Source organism: Homo sapiens, chromosome 1 (genome assembly GCF_000001405.40).
Source record: "Homo sapiens chromosome 1, GRCh38.p14 Primary Assembly".
In the NCBI taxonomy this organism is placed as follows: Eukaryota; Metazoa; Chordata; class Mammalia; order Primates; family Hominidae; genus Homo; species Homo sapiens.
In genome coordinates this window covers 76,229,104-76,254,754 of record NC_000001.11, presented here as the reverse complement: position 1 = coordinate 76,254,754, position 25,651 = coordinate 76,229,104, and the positions used below count along the sequence as shown (strand labels likewise).

Genomic DNA, 25,651 nt, shown 5'->3' with positions numbered 1-25,651 from the left:
TGTTGAATTTTTGTTTTCTGACACATTATAGGGGAAAAAAAACCAGCTTAATGTATAATCCGAGACAGTTTAAGGCAGGAAATTCACAGGCAGATAGTGGCATTAACTAGATTCCCAATGCCTATAGGGCAGTCTTGAATTCAGCTTTTGCAGGAGGTTGAACCTGGTAGACTAAAAGCCAACTATCGTCTCTCTCTCACCATTTTCCCATTGTTCAGAGGAAGTGATTTTTCATAAAAACAGCTTTTGAAATTTCATCCAATGTAAACTCTGCCCACTGCTTACCAAAAATGGAAACACAAGAGGAGAGTAATTGTCATTTTCTCCTATCACAAAAGAGACTTCAAACAAACTGAATAGGGGAGAGAAATCAAAAACACGGCATGAGACAGTTTTTCCATCCTGATGAAGGGTGAGTCACTAATTCCACAGCAGCTTCCTTAATTGCAGCTAAGCACACCAGTATCCAGCTTAACACTCGTTTCCTTCTCAGAGCATTAGAGCACTATTCTTCCCTGATCCACTTGGATCTAGAAATAGTAACTGTCCTAAGAACAGAGGAAAATCGCGTGCTAAATTCTGTATATTTAGCATCTGTATAGCATTTTATGGTTTCAAGGTTTCACAGAACCATTTTTATAATTCATTCCATCTGCAAAAGCGAAGAAATAAAGTCATTTTCCAAGGTCATAGAGAAAATTACCAGAATGAAAATCCAAATGCATAGCCCCTTCCAGAACATTACTTCATTCACAGAGGGCTTCTACCTCATTTACCACCATTTCCCTCTTCACTGCTGATTGGCCATTGAGGAGCTTTGAGAATCCTTTGAATGATCCCAAGATCTGTGGTGCACACACCATTCTTCCGCAAAATCTCACTGGAAGATGTGAGGCAATGCAAGAAAATTGATTGTGCCCAACTACCCATGCCATCTGCTAGAATATTGGAAACTAAGAAAGTCAGAATGCTCTGCAAAGAGGGCCACCTGTGCTAAAAGAGTTAAGGTTGCCTAGTTTTCCTGCCTTACAGTATTTTAAGCCAATTTTATAACTATACATCACCATGGTGATCAGGATTAATGTAATTGCATCAATAATTTTCCATAGCGGGCAGGCTCCAATTGAACTCATCTAAAAGAAAACAAATAGTAAAAGAATGATCTACGTGACTGAATATGAGAAACATTCTAGCAGTGTCATGGAATACCCTAAGAAGTCTGGCACTTTACAACATTTTGGGATGGGGTGTGTTGACATAATCTCTTTCCATCTTGCTCTCATGAAAGCTTTGATTCTGTGTCAGTTCGGGTTCACGTGAAGCTTTAACGGTGAAAGGCTTCACATTATAAATGAGCGCCTCCATCTTCATGCAAACCAAAGACATTGTGATAGTGTATTTGCCCAGGACTTGAGGGAATTCAGTAACATCCATTTATACTTCCTTATTCAGAAAGGAGGCAGAGCATATTAGTTGTTCCTAATTTACTGAAGGAAGAATGACACAGAAGAATGTATAAGTTGAATATAATCCTAATCATGGGAGTCTAAGGGCTTCTGGGATTTTTTAAAGACAAAATTATATTTTCCTCTCTATTTCCTTCAGATTTCCATTCTTTTAGTGTATATATGTGTGTATGTCTATATTTTTGTTTCCTATGAAAATACTGGTTGATAATATTCTAGTATAGTGAGCCAACAGCATTTCTAATACCATGAAGTAAGCAACACAATATGGAAGTGGTAAAATTCTTTTAAATTCTCACTTCTCTACCTCCCCCACTAGTGCATTCTAATCAAAAAGAGAATCTGATTGACTGGTTCATGATAATAGACAGTGATTTAATTTCTGACACATGGCAATAAGGTAGACCTCATCAGCAATCCTTGGTCCATGAGAGATTGCCTTATGATTCTCCACTCGACAAACCTCATTTAAATTGAATGCTATCACAGAGCGGCTTACCAATTAAATCAAGATGTCTTAATATTACAGAAAAGAGATTCTTAAATGTAATAACAGCATTTCTCAGCTGTGTTTACAGTCTTGGACATTGCTGCTTAAATACCCCCAAGGACAAATTCTGAAAAAATGTCAGTGTGTACAACTGCCGTTCATTGGCTTTGACAGCACATCTCTCTCAGTACTCATAGCATTCAGGAATGAGAGCTTGGTCCCCAGCCCAAGAAATTTAAAAAAAAAAGGGGGGGCCATCCTCAAGGGAACTGGTAAAATATAATAGAAATATCATCTGTATTTTCCCAGGCTGGTTAGATAACAGATACACACTTTTTTAAACGTAAACATGAAATAGCTCCCACTTGGTAAGTGCTTGCCACATGAAAGAACTTGACTAAACACAACATAAGCATTATCCTATTTATTCCCACAAAACCCTCAAGGTTGGGGGGAGGTCATTTATATAACAGTAGTAGATTCTGAAGTTCAGATAAGTTAGGCAGATGACCATGAAAGAGACATATTATAAAAGCCTTGAGTCAAATCTCTTCTGACTTCTAAAGCCAGTGTCCAAGTGACTATTACAATACAGCCACCCATCCAAACGAACATCGTATACAGGGTCAGATGAGCCACTCCAGGGATGGCCTCTGGCCCTCCATCAGCAATTCTGCATCACTAAATTCCTCACATTTGGTTTTTCTGGTTTTTTTCCCACCATACCAACGCTCCCCACCATCTATCAACAACAACAACAAAAACTGTCACATTTAAAAAGCCCCTTAAACCACACTTCAGACTAATTTGAAACCTGAGCATGTTTGCCTTTAGATGGGTGAGATTTAATCATAGTTTTAATCATAATTAGTTCAGCAAATTCCTTCCTTAGGCCCTTTAAGGAGCGTATCTTCTGAGTGAGGCACTAAGCAAGGTGCACAGGCAGGACAGTCCCTGCTTATCTAGGAGCAGAACGGTTTATAGATGGAGGTATGGTGTAGAGAGAGTTTGAGAAAGGAATAAACAAGAGCAAGAGATTGAAAAATGCATCAGAGGAGACAAGAGTAAGGGATTGGAGCAAGAGAAAAATTTGTGCACAAAGAAGTATGATAAGAATCATAACAGAAGTCTACGCAAGTTGCCGTGGATCTCAAGGAAGACTTTCCAAGTTCACTTTGGATTGGGGAACTTATAGAATGACTAAGAGTTTACCAAACAGTCAAAAGAAAGGGTATTTCAGGGAGAGGAAAGAGAGTGGATGTACAGATGACCATGATGTGAGGAGAGAACAGTGAAGGGTTTAGTGCTATGTGAGACAAGGCTAGAAAGAGAGGTTGAGGCAAGAATGAGCAGGTCTACAAAAGCAGCTCAAAGATTTCGACCTTATTCTCCAGGCACTGAAGAATAACTGAAGATGTGTGAAAAAAGAACTGGCAGGATAAAGTTTGTGGTTTTGAAAAATGATTCTAGCCAAAATGTAGACAAAGGATTAGAGAAGTTGGGTGTGGAAGAGGCCTTAACTTGTATTATTTAGGAAAGAGAAAGTTTACACGAAGGAGTGGGAATAGAAAGGAAGTCACGTAAATGGACTAAAACTAGTGACATGCGGGTGATAATGGGAGAATTTGCTAATTAAAGTAGTTGTTTAGCCATGATCAGAGGAGGAGAATACATTGTTGAAGGTGGAAAAGGCGATAAAAAAAAAGGGTAGGAGAAGTTTGACTTTCAATGTGTGAAAGATGTGCTGCTGGGATTTCTATGTAAAGATGTGTGACAGGCCGGGGAAATTCAGGATGAAGCCCAGAAGAAAGGTCGAAGCTACAAATGCAGATTTTGAAAATCATCAAGTTTGATACCTAAGAGGTTACTGGTGAGTGTCATTGTTTTTTAAGAGAACAATTTAAGTAGAGTGGTTGACTGAAGTCAGAATATGCTAAGTCAAGGAGTGAACAGAAAATAGATTACATTATTAGCAAATTATTGCTAATTATTTTGTATGTGTATTTTTCTCCTGTTTCTCATGCATAGATGCTTCACAGGGCAGGCACCACGACAGACCTCACTTGTATGCTTCATAGCCATGTTGAAGGGAAAAATAAATATGTGCTGAATTGAAAAAGTGGGGTTGAGAGAGAGAGAGAGCCAGTTAGATAAGAAGACCTTTCTTCCAGTCAGCCCTTGGAAGTGTACTTGGAAACTCCTGAGACTGCAGACAATAGTTCTTTCTCTTTCACCTCTGCAAATGAAATTCAGGTTTCCTCCTGGCTGAAGGCCTCTGCTTACTTTCCATGGATTAACGCTTCCAAGTGAGCAGGAATTGACTTGCCAAATAGTCTAATTCACTTGGCTGGTGTGTCTCACTTAAAAAGCCATTAACAAGTCAGACTAGAGGGGTGAGGAATGTCCAATTAAAGCAATTGCTGCAGTGTCCAAATGCCTAGCAGCTGTGCCCTCCTCACACCACCGGCTAGCTATGAAAATAAGATTTTAACACTTCTTTGCTAGCACAGCCAAAACTTTGTCTGGAAGCCATTGAAGCCTGACAAGAACTGCTTAGAAATTGCAAACCATCCTATTTTATGTATATGTGTTTTTAAAGACATGAGAGAAACTTCTAAGGATTAGGCTCTGATTCCTTAGATCTGTCACCCAAAGTACAAGTGACACAAATAAATAAATAAATAAAGTGGGCTTCATCAAAATTAAAATTCATGCTTCAAAAGATACCATCAAGGAAGTGAAAAGACAAACATAAAATGGAAGAAAATGCTTGCAAATCATATATCTGATAAGGAACTTATATTACAGAATATACAAAGCACTCTTACAACTCAACAATTAAAAAAGACAAACAACTCAAAAATGAACAAAGAATGTGAATATGCATTCATCCAAAGATTATATACAAATGGCTAATAAACACATGAAAAGATGTTAAACATTATTAATCAACAGAAAAATGCAAATCAAAACCACAAGACACACTTCATAGTCACTGACATCGCTAAAATAAAAAAGATGGACAATAGTAAGTGTTGACAAGGCTGTCGAGAAATTGTTTCCCTCATACATTTCTGGTAGGATTGTAAAATGATTCAGCCACTTATGAAAACAGTTTGGCAATTAAACATAGACATACCATATGATGCAACACTTTTAAGCCTAAGTATATACCCAAGAGAATTAAAGACACATATATACACAAAACCTGTACATAAATGTTCATAGCAACATTATTAATGACATCCTAAAAGCGGCTATAACTGATAAGTAGAAAAAAAAGATATGGTAACTTTATAGAATGGAATATATGTGGCAATAAAAAGAATGAAGTATTGATACAAGCTATAATATGAATGAACCTCAAAATATTTTGCTAAGTGAAAGAAGCCAGTCACAAAAGCCCAGTCACAAAATCACAAAATTAAAATAAAAAATCAAAAGTCACAATTATATTATTCCACTTATAGAAAATGTATGTCTGGAGTAGGTAAATTTATAAAGACAGAAAGTAGATTGGCAGTTTCTGGGAGAAGAAAGCAAAGGAAAATGTCTATTAATAGATACTTAGTTTGTAGAAGGTTGAAGAAATAAAGCAATTAAAGAGTGGAGACGTTTGCACAACGCTGTGAGTATATTAAAACCCATTGAACTGCATACTACAAACTGGTGAATGTTATAGTAAGTGAATTTTATCTCTATAAAGCTATAATTTAAAAAAGTAACTTATGACTATATACCCTAATCTCTCAGGGTCACCTCCTCAAGTGAAAACATAAATAGTCTTCATTCAGAAAGTAAGAGGGGAACACTAGTCTAAAGAGTATCTTGAAAGCCATGTTAATACAAGGTAAATCGGTACTTTGAGAAGAAATTGATTAGTGCTAGATCTTAGTAACTTCTGGTTTCTAGGTGGCCACAAATGGGATAGTTTCTCAGTCTTCCTAATGTGTCATCCTCTTTCCACCTCTGTCACGTGAACAAACAAAGGAAAAGAAAGAGGGAAGAAGGAAAGGAGGAAATGGGAGAGAAAGAAAAAGGGAAAGAAGGAAAAGGGTAGAAGAGGGAAGAGGTAAAAGGGAAGGAAAAGGAGAGAAGACAAGAGGAGATATGAGGAGAAAACAAGTATTTGGTTCTGAGAGAGAAGTATTGGAAAATACCTGCTTCATATTAGACAGTCAAAATTATGGATCTTCAGCCAAAAACAAAGAAAAATAAAACATTCCTGAAATTAGGATAATGGTTGTTTCCTTTAGAATCTAAGGGGCGGTGATTTGATTAAAGAAAAGCATTAGCTAAGGAAAGGTCTTTAAATAGGAACTGCTAGACTTGAACCCATTTTCCTCATACCAAAGAAGCTAACTGCTCTCAGTTTCCTTAGATAAGATACAGAGAGAAGTTACCTCTTGTAACTGCATACTTAGGGAGATGGTGATATTGAAAAGGCTGTAAAGGAGAAGAAAAGTAGTCTCAACTTTGATACTGCAAATACATTTAAGAATTTTTAAAAGAGGGCATCTGGCGAGAGAGGGACCAAGATGGTCAAATAGGAACAGCTCTGGTCTGCAGCTCCCAGCAAGACCAGTGCAGAAGGAGGGTGATTCCTGCATTTCCAGTTGAGGTACCCAGTTCATCTCAATGGGTCTGGTTAGGCAGTGGGTGCAACCCACAGAGAGTGAGCAGAAGCAGGGTGGGGCTTCACTTCACCCAGGAAATGCAAGGAGCCAGAGGACCTCCCTCGCCCAGCCAAGAGAAGCCATGAAGGACTGTGCTACCTGCCCTGGGTACTACGCTTTTCCCACAGATTTTTGCAATCCGCAGATCAGGAGATTCCCTGGTGAGCCTACACCACCAGGGCCCTGGGTTTCAGGCACAAAACTGGGCGGCTGTTTGGGCAGACACCAAGCTAGCTGCAGGAGTTTTTTCGTATCCCAGTGGCATCTGGAAACCCACCGAGACAGGAGAACAGTCCACTCCCCTGGAAAGGGGGATGAAGCCAGGGAGCCAGGTGTTCTCACTCAGCAGGTCCCACTCCCACAGAGCTCAGCAAGCTAAGAACCATTGGCTTGAAATTCTCACTGCCAGCACAGCAGTCCAGAGTCAACCTGGGACCATTGAGCTTGCTAGGGGGAGGGGCATCGGCCATTACTGAGGCTTTAGTGGGCTGTCTTCCCCTGACAGTGCTAAGGGCACTGGAAGGTTTGGACTGGGCTGAATTCACCACAGCATGGCAAAGCAGCTGTGGCCAGACTGCTTCTCTAGATTCCACCTCACTGGGCAAGACATCTTCGAAGGAAATGCAGCAGCCCCAGTCAGGGGCTTACAGATACAACTCTCATCTTCCTGGGACAGAGCACTTAGGGGGAGGGGTGGCTGTGGTTAAGTCCGCAGTTTCTGTGGACTTAATCTCTCCTGCCTGCCGGCTCTAAAGAGAACAGCTGATCCTGACAAGGAGGATTTTCCCAACACAGTGCACCAGCTCTGCTAAAGGACAGACTGCCTCCTCAAGTGGGTCCCTGACCCCTGTGTCTCCTGACTGTGAGAGACCTCCTGACAGGGGTCGATAGAAACCTCATACAGGAGAGATCCGGCTAGCATTAGCCTGGTGCCCCTCTGGGACAAAGCTTCCAGAGGAAGGAGTAAGAAGCAATCTTTGCTGTTCTGCAGCCTCCACTGGTAATACCTAGGTGAACAAGTTCTGGAGTGGACCTCCAGCAAACTGCAGCAGACCTGCAGAAGAGAGGCCTGACTGTTAAAGAAAAACTAACAAACAGAAAGCAACAACAACATCAACAAAAAAGACCCCCACACAAAAACCCCATCCAAAGGTCATCAGCCTCAAAGATCAAAGGTAGATAAATCCATGAAGATGAGGAAAAACCAGTGCGAAAATGCTGAAAATTCCAAAAACCACAATTCCACTTCTCCTCTAAATATTCACAACTCCTCTCCAGCAAGGGTACAAAACTGGACAAAGAATGAGATGGATTTGACAGAAGTAGGCTTCAGAAGGTGGGTAATAACAAACTCCTCTGAGCTAAAAGAGCATGTTCGAACCCAATGCAAGGAAGCTAAGCACCTTGATAAAAGGTTACAGGAACTGTTAACTAGAATAACCAGTTTTGAGAGGAGCATAAATGACCTGATGGAGCTGAAAAACACAGCATGAGAACTTCATGAAGCATACACAAGTATCAACAGCCAAATCAAGAGCTCCTGAAGGAAGCACTAAATATGGAAAGGAAAAATCGGTACCAGCCATTGCAAAAATACATCAAAATATAAAAACCAATGACACTATAAAGAAACTGCATCAACTAATGTGCAAAATAACCAGCTAGCATCAAGATGACAGGATCAAATTCACACATAAAAATACTAACCTTAAAAGTAAATGAGCCAAGTGCCCCAGTTAAAAGACACAGACTGGCAAATTGGATAAAGACTCAAGACCCATTGGTGTGCTGTATCCAGAAGACCAATCTTACGTGCAAAGACACACATAGGCTCAAAATAAAGGGATGCAGGAATATTTACCAAGCAAATGGAAAGCCCAAAAAAAAGCAGGAGTTGCAATCCTAGTCTATGAAGAAACAGGCTTTAAGCCAACAAAGATCAAAAAAGACAAAGAAGGGCATTACATAATGGTAAAGGGATCAATGGAACAAGAAAAGCTAACTATCCTAAATATACATGCACCCAACATAGGAGCACCCAGATTCATAGAGCAAGTTCTTAGAGACTTACAAAGACACTTAGACTTCCATGCAATAATAGTAAGAGACTTTAACACCCCACTGTCAATATTAGACAGATCAACAACACAGAAAATTAATAACAATATTCAGGACTTCAACTCAGCTCTGGAGCAAGTGGACCTAACAAACAACTATAGAACTCTCCACTCCAAATCAGCAGAATATACATTCTTCTCAGCACCACATGGCACTTATTCTAAAATTGACCACATAATTTGAAATAAAACTCTTCTAAGCAAAAGCAAAAGAATGGAAATCATAACAGTCTCTCCAACCACAATGCAATCAAATTAGAACTCAAAACTGCACAACTACATGGAAAGTGAACAACCTGCTTCTGAATGACTCCTGGGTAAATAATAAAATTAAGGCAGAAATTAAGAAGTTCTTTGAAACCAATGAGAACAAAGAAACAATGTACCAGAATCTCTGGGACACAGGTAAAGTAGTATTAAGAGGGAAATTTATACCATTAAATGCCCACATTGGAAAGCTGGAAGGGCCTCAAAGCTATACCCTAACATCAAAATTAAAAGAACTAGAGAAGCAAGGGCAAATGAATTCAAAGCCTAGCAGAAGACAGGAAATAACTAAGATCAGAGCAGAACTGAAGGAGATAGACCTACAAAAAACCCTTCAAAAAAATCAATGAATCCAGGACCTGTTTTTATGAAAAGATTAACAAAAATAGACCACTAGCTAGACTAATAAAGAAGAAAAGAGAGAAGAATCAAATAGACACAATCAAAAATGATAAAGGGGATATCCCACTGATCCCACAGAAATGCAAACTACCATCAGACAATATTATAAACACCTCTATACAAATAAACTAGAAAATCTAGAAGAAATGGATAAATTCCTGGACACATACACCCTCCCAAGAGTAAACCAGGAAGAAGTCAAATCTCTAAATACACCAATAACAAGTTCTGAAATTGAGGCAGTAATTAATAGCCTACCAACCAAAAAAGCCCAGGACCAGATGGATCCACAGAGGAATTCTATCAGAGGTACAAAGAGGAGCTGATACCATTGCTTCTGAAGCTATTCCAAACAAAAGAAAAAGAGGGACTCCTCCCTAATACATTTTATGAGGCCAGCATCCTGTGTCTGGCAGAGACACAACAAAAAAAGAAAATTTCAGGCCAATATGCCTGAATAACATCGATGTGAAAATCCTCAGTAAAATACTGGCAAATCAAATCCAGTAGCATGTCAAAAAACTTATCCACCGTGATCAAGTCAGCTTCATCCCTGGAATACAAGGATGGTTCAACATGCGCTAATCAATAAACGTATTCCATCACATAAACAGAACCAATGACAAAAACCACATGATTATCTCAATAGATGCAGAAAACGCCATTGATAAAATTCAACATTACTTCATGTTAAAAACTCTCAATAAACTAGGTATTGACGGAACGTATCTCAATAAAAGCTATTTATAACAAATCCATAACCAATATCATACTGAATGGACAAAACCTGGAAGCATTCTCTTTCAAAACGGGCACAAGACAAGAATGCCCTCTCTCATCATTCCTATTCAATATAGTATTGGAAGTTCTGGCCAGGGAAATTAGGCAAGAAAAAGAAATAAAGTGTATTCAAATAGGAAGAAAGGAAGACAAATTGTCTCTGTTTGCAGATGACATGATTGTATATTTAGAAAACCCCATCATCTCACCCCAAAAACTCCTTACGCTGATAAGCAACTTCAGCAAGGTCTCAGGATACAAAATCAATGTGCAAAAATCACGAGCATTCCTATACACCAACAATAAACAAGCAGAGAACCAAATCATGAATAAACTCCCATTCACAATTGCTACAAAGAGAATAAAATATCTAGGAATATAACTTACAAGGAACAAGAAGGACCTCTTCAAGAAGAACTACAAACCACTGCTCAAAGAAATAAGAAAGGACACAAACAAATGAAAAAAAAATCCATGTTCATGGATAGGAAGAATCAATATTGTGAAAATGGCCATACTGCCCAAAGTAATTTATAGATTCAATGCCATCCCCATCAAGCTACCATTGACTTTCTTCACAGAATTAGAAAAAACTACTTTAAATTTCATATGGAACAAAAAGGAGCCTGTATAGCCAAGACAATCCTAAGCAAAAAGAGCAAAGCTGGAGGCATCATGCTACCTGACTTCAAACTATACTATAAGGCTACAGTAACCAAAACAGCATGGTACTGGTACCAAATCGAATAGACCAAAGGAATAGAACAGAGACCTCAGAAATAACACCACACATCTACAACCATCTGATCTTCAACAAACTTGACACAAACAAGCAATGGGGAAAGGATTTCCTATTTAATAAATGTACTGGGAAAACTAGCTAGCCATAGGCAGAAAACAGAAACTTGACCACTTCCTTATGCCTTATACAAAAATTAACTCAAGATGAATTAAAGACTTAAATGTAAAACCCCAAACCATAAAAAACCTAGAAGAAAACCTAGGCAGTACCATTCAGGACATAGGCATGGGCAAAGACTTCATGACTAAATCATCAAAAGCAATGGCAACAAAAGCCAAAGTTGACAAATGGGATCTAATTAAACTAAAGAGCTTCTGCCTGGCAAAACAAACTATGTCAGAGTGAACAGGCAACATACAGAATGGGAGAAAATTTTTGCAATCTACCCATCTGACAAAGGGCTAATATCCAGAATCTACAAGGAACTTAAACAAATTTACAAGAAAAAAACAGACAACCCCATCAAAAAGTGGGCGAAGGATATGAAAAGACACTTCTCAAAAGAAGACATGTATGTGGTCAAAAACATATGAAAAAAAGCTCATTATCATGGTCATTAGAGAAATGCAAATCAAAACCACAATGAGATACCAACTCACACCAGTCAGAATGGCGATCACTAAAAAGTCAGGAAACAAGAGATTCTGGAGAGGATGTGGAGAAATATGAACACTTTTACACTGTTGGTGGGAATGTAAATTAGTTCAACCATTGTGCAAGGCAGTGTGATGGTTCCTCAATGATCTAGAACAAGAAATACCATTTGACCCAGCAATCCCATTACTGGGTATATACCAAAAGATTTATAAATCATTCTACTATAAAGACATATGCACACGTATGCTTATTGCAGCACTATTTACAATAGCAAATTCTTGGAACCAACCCAAATGCCCACTGATGATGGAATGGATAAAGAAAATGTGGTACATACACACCATGGAATACTATGCAGCCATAAAAAAGAATGAGATCATGTCCTTTGCAGGGACTTGGATGAAGCTGGAAACCATCATTCTCAGCATCCTAAAACAGGAACAAAAAACCAAACACAACATGTTCTCACTCATAAGTGGGAGTGAACAAGGAGAACACATGGACACAGGGAGGGGAACATCACACACCAGGGCCTGTTGCAGGGTGAGGGGAAAGGGGAGGGAGAGCATTAGGACAAATACCTAATGCAGGCAGGGCTTAATACCTAGATGATGGGTTGATAGGTGCACCAAACCACCATGCCACATGTATACCTGTGTAACAAACCTGCACATTCTACACATGTATCCCATAACTTAAAGTAAATTTTTTTAAAAAAAAGGAAAAGAAGGTATCTGGCAACATCACCCTAACACTTGCTCCCAGCTCTGTTACAGACGTGATGCACTCAGCATGCAGTGACCGCTAAGATCTTCCCCCCAACTCTAGCTCATCCCAGCTAGGAACCAGCACTCCTCTCCCCCAGGGTTTTCCTTTATCTCATTTTCCTCAGTGTACTCTTTTTTTTGTGATTACAAATGTTCTTCCAATCCTTAAAAAAAATGAATTTAAAAGAGGAAACAAAATAATTTCTTCCTAAATGAGAAAAATCCAAAGCCATATAGCCTGTGATTGTGGAAGCTGCTTTTGGAATGAAAGGAAAAGGTGGGAGAACAACAGCTAGTATTTGCTGAGTGACTTCTATGTACCAGGCACTATGCATATATGATTTTTAATCCCAATTACAGCCCTGCAAAGTAAGGATGATCAATCCCATTTAGAGAAATCTTGCTTTCTAACTCCTACTACTCAAGACTCACATTCAGAAGTATTAGAGGATATCCGCCTGCACTAAATTACAATACTTTATGTCTAGAGCAGGCTGTCCAATAGAAATGTAATGTGAGTCACACACATAATCTTAAATTTTCTGGTAGTCACACTAAAAGTGAAAAAAAGGGAATTCATTTTAATAACGTATTTTATTAACCCACTAGACTCAAGATATTATCATTTCAACATGTAATCAATATTTTTAAATTTTAATGAACCATCTGATATTCTTTTTGTGTACTAGACCTGTGAAATACAGTTTGTATTTTACACTTACAGAGTATCTTAATTCAGACTATCCACATTTCAGGTACTGCTATAGTTTGGATATTTGTCCCATCCAAATCTCTTATTGAAATTTCATCTCCAGTGTTGGAGATGGGGACTAATGGGAGGTGTTTGGGTCATGGAGGAGAATCCCTCATGAATGGATTAATTCCATTCCTGGGGAAGGGAAAGGGTGAGTGAGTTCTCACTGTTTTCATTCCTGCTAGAGCTGGTTGTTTAAGGGAGCTTAGCACTTCCCACTTTTCTCTCTTGCTTCCTCTCTCACTATGTGATCTCTGCACACACTGGTTCTGCTTCACTTTCCACCATGAGTGGAAGCAGTTTGTGGGCCTCATCAGATGCCCAACCTTGAACTTTCCTAGATATCAGAATTGCGAGCCAAAGATACCTTTTCTTCTGTATAAATTACCTATTTTATATATTCCTTTATAGCAACACAAAACAGACTAAGAAAGGTACTCAATAGCAACATATGGCTAGTGACTACTATTTTGGACAGTGAAGCTGTAGAAGACTCTACAAATTTAAAATTATGACATGTACTATCCTAATAATTTTGCACAATAATTCCATGACACATTTTGCAAGTGAGTAACCTGGTAACCAGGAAGTTAAATAGCTCAACTAAGTCACAGAGATTATTATAATTTTTTTTCAGTAAGAAAGAGAAGGGTTGAATAGGTAAATAAAAAGATTATATAGCTGTTAGGTGCAAAAGTATCTTAAACCTAGTTCTGCTTTTGGTTCAGTGCTCTTTCAAAAGTACCTTACAATTTGGGTTTTTCCAGCGATCTCAGTCAAACTTGGAGATAGATAAAAATGGGTATTAAGGTAGGATAAACTGACAGAACAAAATGACCCCAAATTAAATGGCTTGAAGGCAATAGTTTATTTCCAAATGTTTTGTTTCTGTGTGTGTGCACGTGCCTGCTCACAAATGTATCTGTATGTTGTGGGAGGCAATTGGCTCAACAGTCATTCAGGGACTCAGCTGAGGGACAGATCAGCTGACTGGCTTCCAAGATTGCTCCGGGCATCCCCATCCCAGGTGTCTGGAAGGAAGATAAGAACACAGAGAATTGCTTGTAGGAAGTTAATGGCCAAGACTGGAAATGGCACACATCACTTCTACTTACATTCCATACCCATGAACACTTAGTCTGATGGCCACACTTAACTATAAAAAGGCTGAGAAATGGAGAAGACATGATCAGACTAAAGGGGAACAAGAGAATGGATTTGGCTGGACAGTTAGCAGTTTGTGTTCAGCATTAGAGAACTAAATATAAGTCTGCCAGGAAGTGAGACAGAATTGCTGGTAAAAAGTAAAACAAGTTAGAAACTTTATAGAGACCTGAAAGAGGAGAAGAGACAGGCATTTTTAAGCAGTTCTACGTAAAACATCATACTACATATTTTATTCTTTCCAGCATACCACATCACTAGTGAAAAACTAACAGTGAATATATGTATATATGCCATTTATTGAATGCTTGTACAGCAAGACACTGTACTGTGTATTATACCTATGTTATCTTATTTAATTTTCCTAGCAACTTTTTCAAGGTCATGAGGCTAAGTTAGTAATAGTTCTTGGATTTGAACCCACCTCTGACTCCAAAGTGCATACTCCTTTTCCAGAATTAATTTATCAATGGCTACCTTAATAGGAAAAGGCAGAAATGCAAAAGAGGCTAAAGCATTGTGCCTGGGAGGTGAGAATAAAGAGTAAATGAATGAGGATAATTCAGAAGAAAAAGATTAAGGAGGTAACAGACTAAACTTCTATTAGCCTAGGGCCTTCTTTGCATCTTATCTCAGCCCTGTATCCAATTTCATAACAAAGTTGTGGTTGGAAGTTGATGTTTCCGTACCATATAATTCAGTGCTCCTCTGATATAGTTTGGATGTTTGTCCCCTCCAAATCTCATGTTGAAATGTGATCCCTGATGTTGGAGGTAGACCTAGTGGGAGGTGCTGGGTCACGGGGGAAGATCTCTCGTGAATGGCTTGGTGCCTCCCTTGCAGTAATGAGTGAGTTCCTGCTCTGTTTGTTCATGCAAGAGCTGTTTGTTTAAAGAGTCTGGCATCTTCTCCCTTCCCCCCTTGCTCCCTCTCTCACCATGTGACACACCTGCTCCCCCTTTGCCTTCTGCCATGAGTAAAATCTTCCTGAGGTCCTGACCAAAAGCACACACTGGCACCATTGTTTCCTGTACACTCTGCAAAATCACGAGCCAAAATAAAACTTTTTTTTTATTATAAATAACTTAACTTCAGGTATTCCTTTATAGCAATGCACAATGGATTAATACATCCTCTCTCCACATCCTTCCCCCTTCCTCCACGGAAGAGGAGTATTGTCACTGACTGGTCAAGTTCAAGGATGCTGACTTGGGCCATATATTCAAAAACTAGGGTGTTAGAAGAAAGAGCATCACCCTTCTATCTTTTCTCTCCATGTGACCAGGATGATAATAAGGCTGGATCACTCCCTTCAGATTCTTCCTTCAAGGAGGCTAGAGAAGCGAAAAGGACAAGAGGCTCCCCCAGGACTCCAGGCCTGAGAACCCCAGGAGACAGCTGGTGGCCCAAGCCCACTCTGCCTATATTCTATGCCAATGGAGCCCAGCAGCCCCTTGCTTTTGTGCTCACTTCTATCTTACTGGGCCTTATCCTTTTAAACAGTTAAAAAAAAAAAAAAAAAAAGGTTAGTGGGAAACAGGCTTAGTGGAAAAGTAAGGCTGCTTATCTAAACTGTCCCAGATTGAGAAAGACTTTAAATACCTGAATAAAAATTGTGAACCAAAAAAAATCCCTAGACGTTGTCAGTAAGTATAGGATCCATCATATTTGCATGTGATATTTCCTGCCCGAGGAAAATAATCTATCTCACACCTACTTCAACTCTTCCACCTGAGAAAAATCCTGCTCTTACTGTATAATTGAAGTCCAATTTCCTCGCTTTAATAAAAGCCCCCTCTCCCCTCCTCTCCAAAGCTGGTTCCTTCCCCCTCTGAACTCTCACTGCTCTCTGCCTATTGTCTACAGAGGCAATGGCACTGCATTACAATTAGTTATGGCTGCATCATCCATCTCCTCAGCTAAATTGTTGAGCTTCTGGACACAGTATGTCTCGGAATGTCCAGTGCCTAGCCCTGGGCATAGCGGGAAAAATACCCTCAACAAATGTCTGTGGATGTACTAACAAATAAAAGCTTAAAATACCCCGTAATGGCCTGCCTGGTATTTGGCATCTCCTGGCTAAAGATTGACTCATGCTGTGGGCATCCTCTTGCGCATTTTTCACTCTCCATAATGGCCTCTTCTTATCATGCATTTTATTGATCTGTCTGAGTGATGAAATTTATTATTTATTACATTTCTGTAATAGCTTTGCTTCAAAGAGCACGGCAGGATATGTAGAGAATCCAAGGCAATAGCCAGGAAGACCAAAACAAAGGAAGCACAGTGTGGGAACTAGAGAGAAAAGGTAGAAGGTGCGGGCTGGGAAGAAATTGCAAGGGAAAGGCATTGCCAGAAAAGTAGCAGCTAGGACAGGCTCCTGGGGGCCCTGTGCCAGTGCCAGTGTCAGCCCAGCCCCCATCCACACCAGGCTTGTTGGACAGTTTGACAGGAGAAATAATTCGGAAAGCACTTTGAAATGTTAAAAGCATCCTCCAAATGCAAAGTAATGTTATTCCATTATCATTAATCAACATCAATGTAATTCATTCAAAAGCAGGAAGTATTTCATATCCAGGCAAGTGAGGTGGAGAGTTTGAAGTATCTATCTTCCTCTGCTAGACTATATGCTCTTCTAAATCGAGAAGATATTCATTTTTTGCACATGATAGGTGTTTAACAAAACTTTCCACATGACACTGAAACCAGCGTTTCCATCTCCAGAAATATTTTTTTTCTATCTAGAATCCTGGTGAGGGACTGGGTATTAAACATCCTATAAATAACTTCCTTTTATTCTAGTCTGAATTCCCATGAGAAATGGCCCTAAGAGAAAATAACTGGGTTTTTTTCCCTCCATTTATAGTGATTACCTTACAAATTTTTAGACTATGACATCCATTAAACTTCTACCTTATTTCTGAAAAATCAGGCATGGCTTGATATAGGGAAGTATATGTCAAACCTTTCATCTTTTTGAATGGCCTCTTCAATGAACCTAAAGGCTTAGCTAAAGTGGCCTTCATCTCCTCTCACTGCATTAAAGAATTCCACACCAGGCGTATGTAATCCCAGCATTTTGAGGCCAAGGCGGGTGAATCACTTGAGGTCAGGAGTTTCAGATCAGCCTGGCCAACCCAGTGAAACACTGCCTTTACTGAAAACACAAAAATTAGCCCGGCGTGGTGGCGGGCATCTGTAGTCCCAGCTACCTGGGAGGCTGAGGCAGGAGAATCCCTTGAACCCAAGAGACAGATGTTGCAGTAAGCAAAGATTGTGCCACTGCACTCTTGCCTGGGTGGGGAGAATATAAAAAACAGAATTCTTCAATGATTCATTGATCCCAAGTAAGTTATTTCACACCCGCATCATAAACCTGAATCTTCCTCACCGTGGCCCCGTGAATCTTGCCTGGCCCCGTGGCCTATCCCCTTAGCACACTCTCTAAACTAACTGTGAGCTCTTTGAAGGCAGGAGCAAGGTTTTATTGGACTGGGATTCCTAGCACAGGTTCAGGGACTCTGTTCACTGAATGTTAACTAAATCAGGTACCTGCCACTGTCTTAAAGTAATTATTGACAAGATCAAAATGACTATCTTTTATCTGTTGAATTGGCAGTTTTTATCCATAGCTAAGCTTCCTATCTAAAAAATTATTTTAGAACCTTGATTATGCAAACTCAATACATTATACGGAAGATTGCATTTGCACACAAAAACTAAAGTAAGGAGGTATGAATTTTTAAAACCTTCTTCCATTATTCAAAGAGTTTCACCATCAAGTAGAGATTATAGTCTTGTTTATAATCATAAACAAGTTGTGAAGCCTCAGGTACATCAAAATCTTTTCACCTCTCTAAGCTTCAGATTACCCATTTGTAAACTGAAGATACTGGAGATAAAAAACACACTTTGAAGGTTTCTACGAGGATTAGAAGTTTTTGACAATATAGTATCTGACACTTAGTAGGTTCTCAAGTAGTAATCATTGCTTATGTTGTTATCCTTTAAGACATCTACTTACTAATAATAATTAGAGCAAACCCTCACATAGCAATTTTTGTACTCATTTAATCCACACCAAACCATGTGAGGTGGTGTCATGGGTTGAATTGTATTCTTCCAAAACTCGTATGTTGAAATCCTAAACCCCAATACCTCAGAGTCTGACCTTATTTAGAAGTAGGGCCATTGTAGATATAATTTGTTATATTAAAATTAGGTTGGTCGGGTGCGGTAGCTCAGGCTTGTAATCCTAGCACTTTGGGAGGCCGAGGCGGGCGGATCACCTGAGGTCAGGGGTTCGGGACTAGCCTGGCCAACATGGCGAAACCCTGTCTCTATTAAAAATACGCAAAAAATTAGCCAGGCATGGTGGCTGAGGCAAGAGAGTCGCTTCAGCCTGGGAGGCAGAGGTTGCAGTGAGCCGAGATCACATCCTTGCACTCCAGCCTGGGCAACAGAGTGGGACTCTGTCTAAAAACAAACAAACAAACAAACAAAAAACAAAATGAGGTCACACTGGAGTAGGATGGGTCCCTGTCCCAACATGACTGGTACCATTGTTAAAAGGGGAAACGGGACACAGGCATACACAGGGGAGAACACCATGTGAAGATGAAGGCAGAGATCAGGAACACCAAAGATTCCCAGCACACAGCCAGGAGCCCTGAGAAAGAAAACAGTGCTGTGACACTTCGATCTCGGATGCCTAGTCTGTAGAATTGTGACACAGTAAGTTTCTCATTTAAGTCACCCAGTTTGTGGCACCTTGTTACCATAGCCCTAGTAAACTATTGCAGGTGGGTATTCCTATGATTCCCAATTTAAAGATAGGGAAACTGAGGCATTTGAATGAATTTATCCATTATATCAAATGAGAGAAATAACCTAAGAAATAACCTTGGCTTTTGTAGGCATTCAATGTAGGCAAATTTTATTGTATTTTATTTTACTTATTTATTTTGAGACAGGATCTTGCTCTGTTGCCCAGGCTGGAGTGCAGTGGCACCATCATGGATCACTGCAGCCTCGATCTCTCAGGCTCAGGTGATCCTCCCACCTTAGCTGCCCAAGTAGCTTGGACTACAGGCAGGCACCACCACGCGTGGCTAATAGTTTTAATTTTTTGTAGAGATGGGTTCTCACCATACTGCCCAGGCTAGACTTGAACTTTTGGGCTCAAGCGATCCTCCTGTCTCAGCCTCCCAAAGTGCTGGGATTACAGGCATGAGCCACCAGACCTGACTTGGGCAAATGTTAGCACTTGACACTCACATGTATGCTTTTGGGTGCTAAAATTTGGGGAGTAATCCTTTTTTCCTTTTTGAACAATAGCTCTGAACAGTTTTTGTTTTTCCTTTGGAAACCAGAGGCCATCAGCTGAGTGACTGACTCTTGGCACCTCCTACACAGCAGTGCCCAAATGTGAGGCCCTGCTACTTTGAGTTTAACCACCAGCGACTCTGTAGAGAAGCTGAAGCCCACACTCCTTGGTTCTTTGCAGAGGTGGACTATATTTGGGAAAAAGGTAATGTTAGCATCTGATTATCTAGGTAGAGCCCTCTCAGGTACTTTTGTGAAGGACTCTTTGCAATGTAAATTTGATTGATTTGCTATTATTGCTTGTATTCTTCATCTTCCATAGACCCTTTGGGAGGAAGAGAAAGGAATCCACTCATTCCTGATAAATTGATCCTAGAAACTCTGTTTAGAAAGCTGAGATTGACTATTCCATTTTATAAAACAACAACTTTTCAGAGCAACAACAAAATGTTTCTCATGGCTGCCTCTATTTACTAAAAAATGTGTTTTGAAGATTGAATTTTCTTGGAATTGCTACATGGAGAAATTCAGGTGTAGAGCCCAGGTTATGGCATAAGAGCAGGGGATTCTTGTCCAGACATTCACATGAAGATATATAGCACATAAGGCTTTAGCTAGAGATAGGCATCGGCCTTCCTGCTATGATTTGCACGGGTTTGCAAAGCACACAGTTCCAAATTGCTTCCCACTGGCATGTGAGAGATCCTGAAGTCCCACTGGAAAAGACTCAGTCCTTTGAGAAATGTCTCTGAATGGGCATTAAAATGCAAACACTCATTCCTCCAACCCAAGAGCAGAAATTTCCCTTGAAGCATTCCTTCACTAACAATGAAACCAAAGAGGTGGGATCTCAGATCCTAGAAGGGGGACAGAGCAGTTTAGGAGAATCTAGGCCACTACCGGGGGAGGGTACAGAGAAATCTGGGAGGATGGGAAGCAGTAAAGCACATGGAGGGAAGCAGAGGTTCAGAGAGCTGAATGAAGGGCAAGGAAGCAAGGTGGTAAGGTGGATAAAAGCACACACTTCATTATCGCACAAACCTGGGTATAAGTCAGAGCTCTCACACCTAATAATTTTATGTTCTTGGACTAATTATTTAACCTCTCAACCTATATTTTCACATTTATTTAATAAAAATATCAATTGCCAGTAATTCTTAAATGTTTTCATTATCGTCCCTCTAAGGACACTTTTTAGACATTTTTTCTAATTGCTCCCCCACATAAAATTTTAATATCACAGATATACTGTGTATCTGTTTGTATACTGCACATGTATCTGTGCTTTATATATACAAAAAGTATATGGTTGTTGTTAAAAGTAAATGGTATTTCCTCCCAGACTTCACCACTACTGTAATATATCCATGTAACAAAATTGCACTTGTACCCCTAAGTTTATTTAAATAAACATAAATACATAGATAAGTATCTAATATAAAGACTAATGCAGAAAGAAAAAGAGTAAATGATATACTGTAGATGAAGTTCTTAGCAATGAGGATGCTACTCAAAATACTTAACAATAGGCATTACACTGGCACTACTAATCAAGCATTGGGACTGCCCATTTAGGATGGATAAATGCTTTAAAAACTGTCCAACCATACCAGTGCATGCCCTTTGTGGTGGATTAAACTATAGGTCACAATTCTTCACTGTCCTGTAGAGATACCTAGGCCTTCCCTTGGCCTTGTGGTTGGTGGATGCCCTTCCCTACTCCTTGTTTTTGGGCTTACTTGTATGCTTCTTTAGGTCGAAGCATGTTAGATTATTCTCAACTGAAACTTGTAAAGTTTTTTATAATGCTGCTGCTAATCCACATCCCATTCATCCTATCCCTTTGCAAGTGAACCTTTGCAATCACAAGCAGGTCTTCATTATAACTCTCTTAATGTGAATCATATCAGATACCACCAAATCTAACTAAACTGGCCTCTGGTTTTAATGATAATAGTTGTAATAGTAATATTATTATTACTGTAGAAGAATTTGGGAGGAGGTGAAGGAAGTAATGAGGAAGAATGGGTGTGGTAACAATGAACATGTATCGAACATTGACTATTTAATAGATTCTCTTCCAGTCCCTTTAGAGACTTTGTTTTTTGAGCCTATAGCAGTCCTGTAAGGCAGGCATTTCTCATGTACCTGTGTCTCAGAGACTTGATGAGGTTAAGTACAGTGTCCAAAGTCACATGGTTCCTAGGTGGTAAAGCCAGGAGTTGCTCCAACTTCAAAGCCCAGGACTGTGTAAAGACAGCCTCCTGGATTACACACTCAGCTGACAGTGGCTCATCTCCATCTCGGTCTATCTCTACTTGACCGGCTCCTGCAAACCACTGGGGCCCCGCTTTAACGCTCAAGTCAAGAGTTCATTATTGCTCAACCACAGTTTTTTCTGGTGGCTTCTTCAACAACACAGGTTACCCTGATGGAGGAGAAACAACAGTCATCCAGCACTAAGGGGCAGGGACTTGGTGATGGGGAGGACAGGGAGCTGTGATACAGTTCAACAACAGCCCCGCTATCTGAGGGAAGAGGAAGGACTTAAGGAGAGGACCTTCTCCGGTCAGATGAATTGCACAAAGGAGCCTTTCCGGGGAGGATCCATTAGAAAAAGGACCCCTTACTCCCAGATGGCCAGAGCACAGGCTTGGTCCCACCTGAGTGGAATCCAGATGGGCTCTGGATTCCAGCCCACTCTGGCAAGGCCCTTTGTTCGAACCCAATTTGCCCATCTGGACCCAGCAGCCCTGGAGTGGGGTGAGTGGACCTCCCTGTAGATCATCCAGTACTATTCCCTCCAACACCACCAGGGTAAGCCTAGCTGACAACACAGAAATAAGCTCAGAGGCCACCATACAATGGATAAATACTACAAACTCTGGAAAAGTATACTTCCTTGAACTACATCAGTCATAGATAGGGATCTTTTCAATATTGTTGGTTACTGATGTTTCTTTCTGTCCAGCGTCAACCACTATAGGTAAAACAATTCTGAACATGCTTTCTGTAAAGTGGTACAGTGTGCCGCAGAGTGAGGTTCTGGTACCAGACTTCATGGTATCAAAGCCTGGTTCTGTTTGTCCAAACCATACGACCTTGGGTAAGTGAAGTTTCTCCCTTGAAAAATGAGAATGGTAGAAACTACCTCGAAGCCTTGTTGTCAAAATTCAGTTAGGTGTTTCAGCTATCACACAGAACAAATCACCTCAGTTATGAATGGCTTAAAACAACAACACTTCAAAAAGTTAAAAAATAGAATTACCATATAATCTGGCAATTCCACTTCTGGGAATATCCACAAGAATCTAAAGCAGGGTCTCAAAGAGATATCTGCACACCCATGTTTTTAGCAGCATTATTTACAACAGCCATTTGGATAAAGGCAACACAAGTGTCCACTGACAGATGAATGGATGAAAAAAAAGTGACATATACCTATAGTGGATATTATTCAGCCTCACAAAGGTGGATATTCTGATATATGCTACAACATGGATAAAACTTGAGGGACATTATCCTTAATGAAATAAGCCAGTCACATAAAGATATAGCATGATTTCACTTGTATGAGGAGGTATCTAGAATAGTCAAGCTCACAGAAACAGAAAGTAAAATGGTAATTGTGAGGGAATGGCAGGAGGGAGAAACAGAAGTTGTTGTTTACTGGGTATAGAGTTTCAGTTCTACAAGATGAAAACGTTTTGGAGATTAATCGTACAACAATGTGAATATACTTAATACTGCTGAATTGTACGCTTAAAAATAGTTAACATGGTAAATTTTATGTTCTGTGTATTTTACTACAATTAACGATAAAATAATAAAAAAAAATTTTAAAAAACAAACATTTGCTTGGTTTATAATTCTGTGGGGTACCATTTGGTTTGGGTCTTGCCTGTAGCCATCTGTTAGCTCAGCTGGACCTGGCTTGTTCAAGATGGCCTCGCTTGCATATCAAGGGGTTGTGCTAGTTCTGTGGCTGAGCCTCTTCCCTCCATGGTCATTCATCCCAGCTCTGGGTTCCAAGAAGCTGAGAGAGAAAGCAGCAGTGTCTCCCAAGGCCTTGTCTTGCAAAATATCACCTTCACCACAGTTTATTCACCATAGAAAGTCAAAGGGCCAGACCAGATTCAGAGAAGGGGAAAATAGACTTCCCTCACAGAAGGAGGTGGGGCAGACAGCAAATTTACATTGCAAATGTGCGTGCATAAACAATGAAAGGATTATTACTGTGATCTCTATAAATAATCTAACACTTAAAATAACAGAAGTAAAGCACTAAGGACAGTGCACATAGTAAGCACTTAATAAACAGTTATTGTTTTATTGTTGTTACAATTCTTAAAATTCCAGGAATGTTTGCCAACTGGCAAATGAGTTGATTCTGATACCTTTCTAATGTATTTCTTCTAATCAAAGAGAAAAGGAAAAGGCATCAGTTACTAACAGGAGTCTATATTTCACAACTAAAGTCTTAAATAAACACACACATACATATATAGGTATATTAAAGCAAACCAGACTACAGTATGAAATTTAATAATACTAATCTCATACTTTTCCTATAAATTGATTCAATTCAGTAGACTTACCTAATCATAACAACATAAAATTAAATTACTTTGAAAAAATACTTGGACTCTAGTATATTGCCATAGGACCCTAAAAACTCAGCTAATAAAATAAAAGATAATTTGAAAATAATGTAGATCTTTCATCATGAACAGTATTTAAGTATTTTTGCATCCTTCTTTTCTTTCATCCTATTAAAGCTCCATAATTACAATTCTCAAATATAGTAATAACAGAGAGAACACAGATAATGAACTCTACGTAGTAGAAACCAAATATAATAACAAAATAAGGTGTGATATGCTTCAAACTGTTCTTAGGCAATTGGTCAACTTCTCATCTTAACGCTTATATGTACTCCTTAAGGTTTGGGAAGAAGTCACTGCTGAAATGTCATTGAATTTTCATTAGAAAAAGATAAAGAAATAATTTGGCTTTGTTTTTCACTCCTGTTGTACTGCATTCTATTATCAGCAGAAACAAAAGTATGAGGAAGTTGGAGTTTCTAAGCTAAGTCATCTATAAGCAAGTGCTAGCCCTTCAGTGACCCACTAATCTCAGATCTCCTATTTCCAAATCTTTTGAGGATAATGTTTGAAAAGGTTTTCCTTTATAGTTTTACATTTTAAAAAAAGAAAAGCTGTTGGCCATTGATCTCTGTTGCAAAGAGGCCCCTCTGCTCCTCCCTACTGGGCGCCATGTGAATGGGGTTCACCGTGAGATGGTAATACCTAATGCATGCGTTGACATTTAGCAATGTGCTTTACTGCTCTGCCCTTTCCACACGTGGAACAGCAAGTGGGAGCAAGGCTGCATCTCTCACAGGTCAGCCACAGCCCCCACCCCAAAGCTAGGAAATGCTAATGTACCTGAAGGAACAACAGCTACATGGAATCACCTACCTACAGAGACCATGAAATTAAAACGTGCTCCTGGACAATATCATTTCTTGCCCAACTAGGCCCTCTGGAAATAAACAAAGACCAACCAAATGAGAACAAGCAAAGGCTATTTATTCTGAGCTTGCTAGAGGCAGGGAGTCAGCCACACTGTCACTTGCATTTTGGCGGAGACACAAAGGCAGGAAGAGAAGTGGGAAAGCTTTATCCTGAAAAAAAGGAAGGTTTCAGATGTGCCCTAATTAAAGGTTATGGGTGCAGGGAAGCTGTAGGTGGTCTAACAGGAAGTGGGGCATCCTGTCTGATTTGTTAGGGGTGTGTTATTTGGCTGTCTCTCGTTCATCCTAAGTTAAAAATGGGGACACAAAATTAGGGAAGCTGCCAGTTATTGATCAAGTCCTGGCCACTTGAGGTCAATTGTTGAAGTTATTGTTTAGCTTCCTAGATGGTTACTGGAGATTGCAATCTGACTTGTTACAAGTCTAACTCATGGCAGGCTAGCTTTCTGGGTTCTTTATTGAGAATAAGGAGTCAGTTTCCTGGGCGGGTTGCTGCAGGTTGTGGGTC

The 25,651-nt window shown here is 39.7% G+C and overlaps 1 protein-coding gene across 12 annotated transcripts in view, besides 3 other annotated features; it reads right to left on the bottom strand.

The window, feature by feature from the left end:
• The window catches only part of ST6GALNAC3 (ST6 N-acetylgalactosaminide alpha-2,6-sialyltransferase 3), a 562,594-nt gene that overhangs the window by 382,585 nt on the left and 154,358 nt on the right, over nucleotides 1–25,651 (bottom strand). The window lies entirely within an intron of this gene.
• Nucleotides 15,037–15,331: an enhancer, noted in NCBI's record as "tiled region #8716; K562 Activating non-DNase unmatched - State 24:Quies". NCBI's record gives its function as "activates a minimal TATA promoter and a strong SV40 promoter by Sharpr-MPRA in K562 cells {active_cell/tissue: K562}" and the evidence as "EXISTENCE:reporter gene assay evidence [ECO:0000049][PMID:27701403]".
• Nucleotides 19,950–20,449: an enhancer, noted in NCBI's record as "NANOG-H3K4me1 hESC enhancer chr1:76699991-76700490 (GRCh37/hg19 assembly coordinates)". NCBI's record gives its function as "activates a minimal SCP1, AML or CMV promoter by ChIP-STARR-seq in naive H9 embryonic stem cells {active_cell/tissue: H9 hESC(naive)}" and the evidence as "EXISTENCE:reporter gene assay evidence [ECO:0000049][PMID:30033119]".
• Nucleotides 23,151–23,651: an enhancer, noted in NCBI's record as "OCT4-NANOG-H3K27ac hESC enhancer chr1:76696789-76697289 (GRCh37/hg19 assembly coordinates)". NCBI's record gives its function as "activates a minimal SCP1, AML or CMV promoter by ChIP-STARR-seq in naive H9 embryonic stem cells {active_cell/tissue: H9 hESC(naive)}" and the evidence as "EXISTENCE:reporter gene assay evidence [ECO:0000049][PMID:30033119]".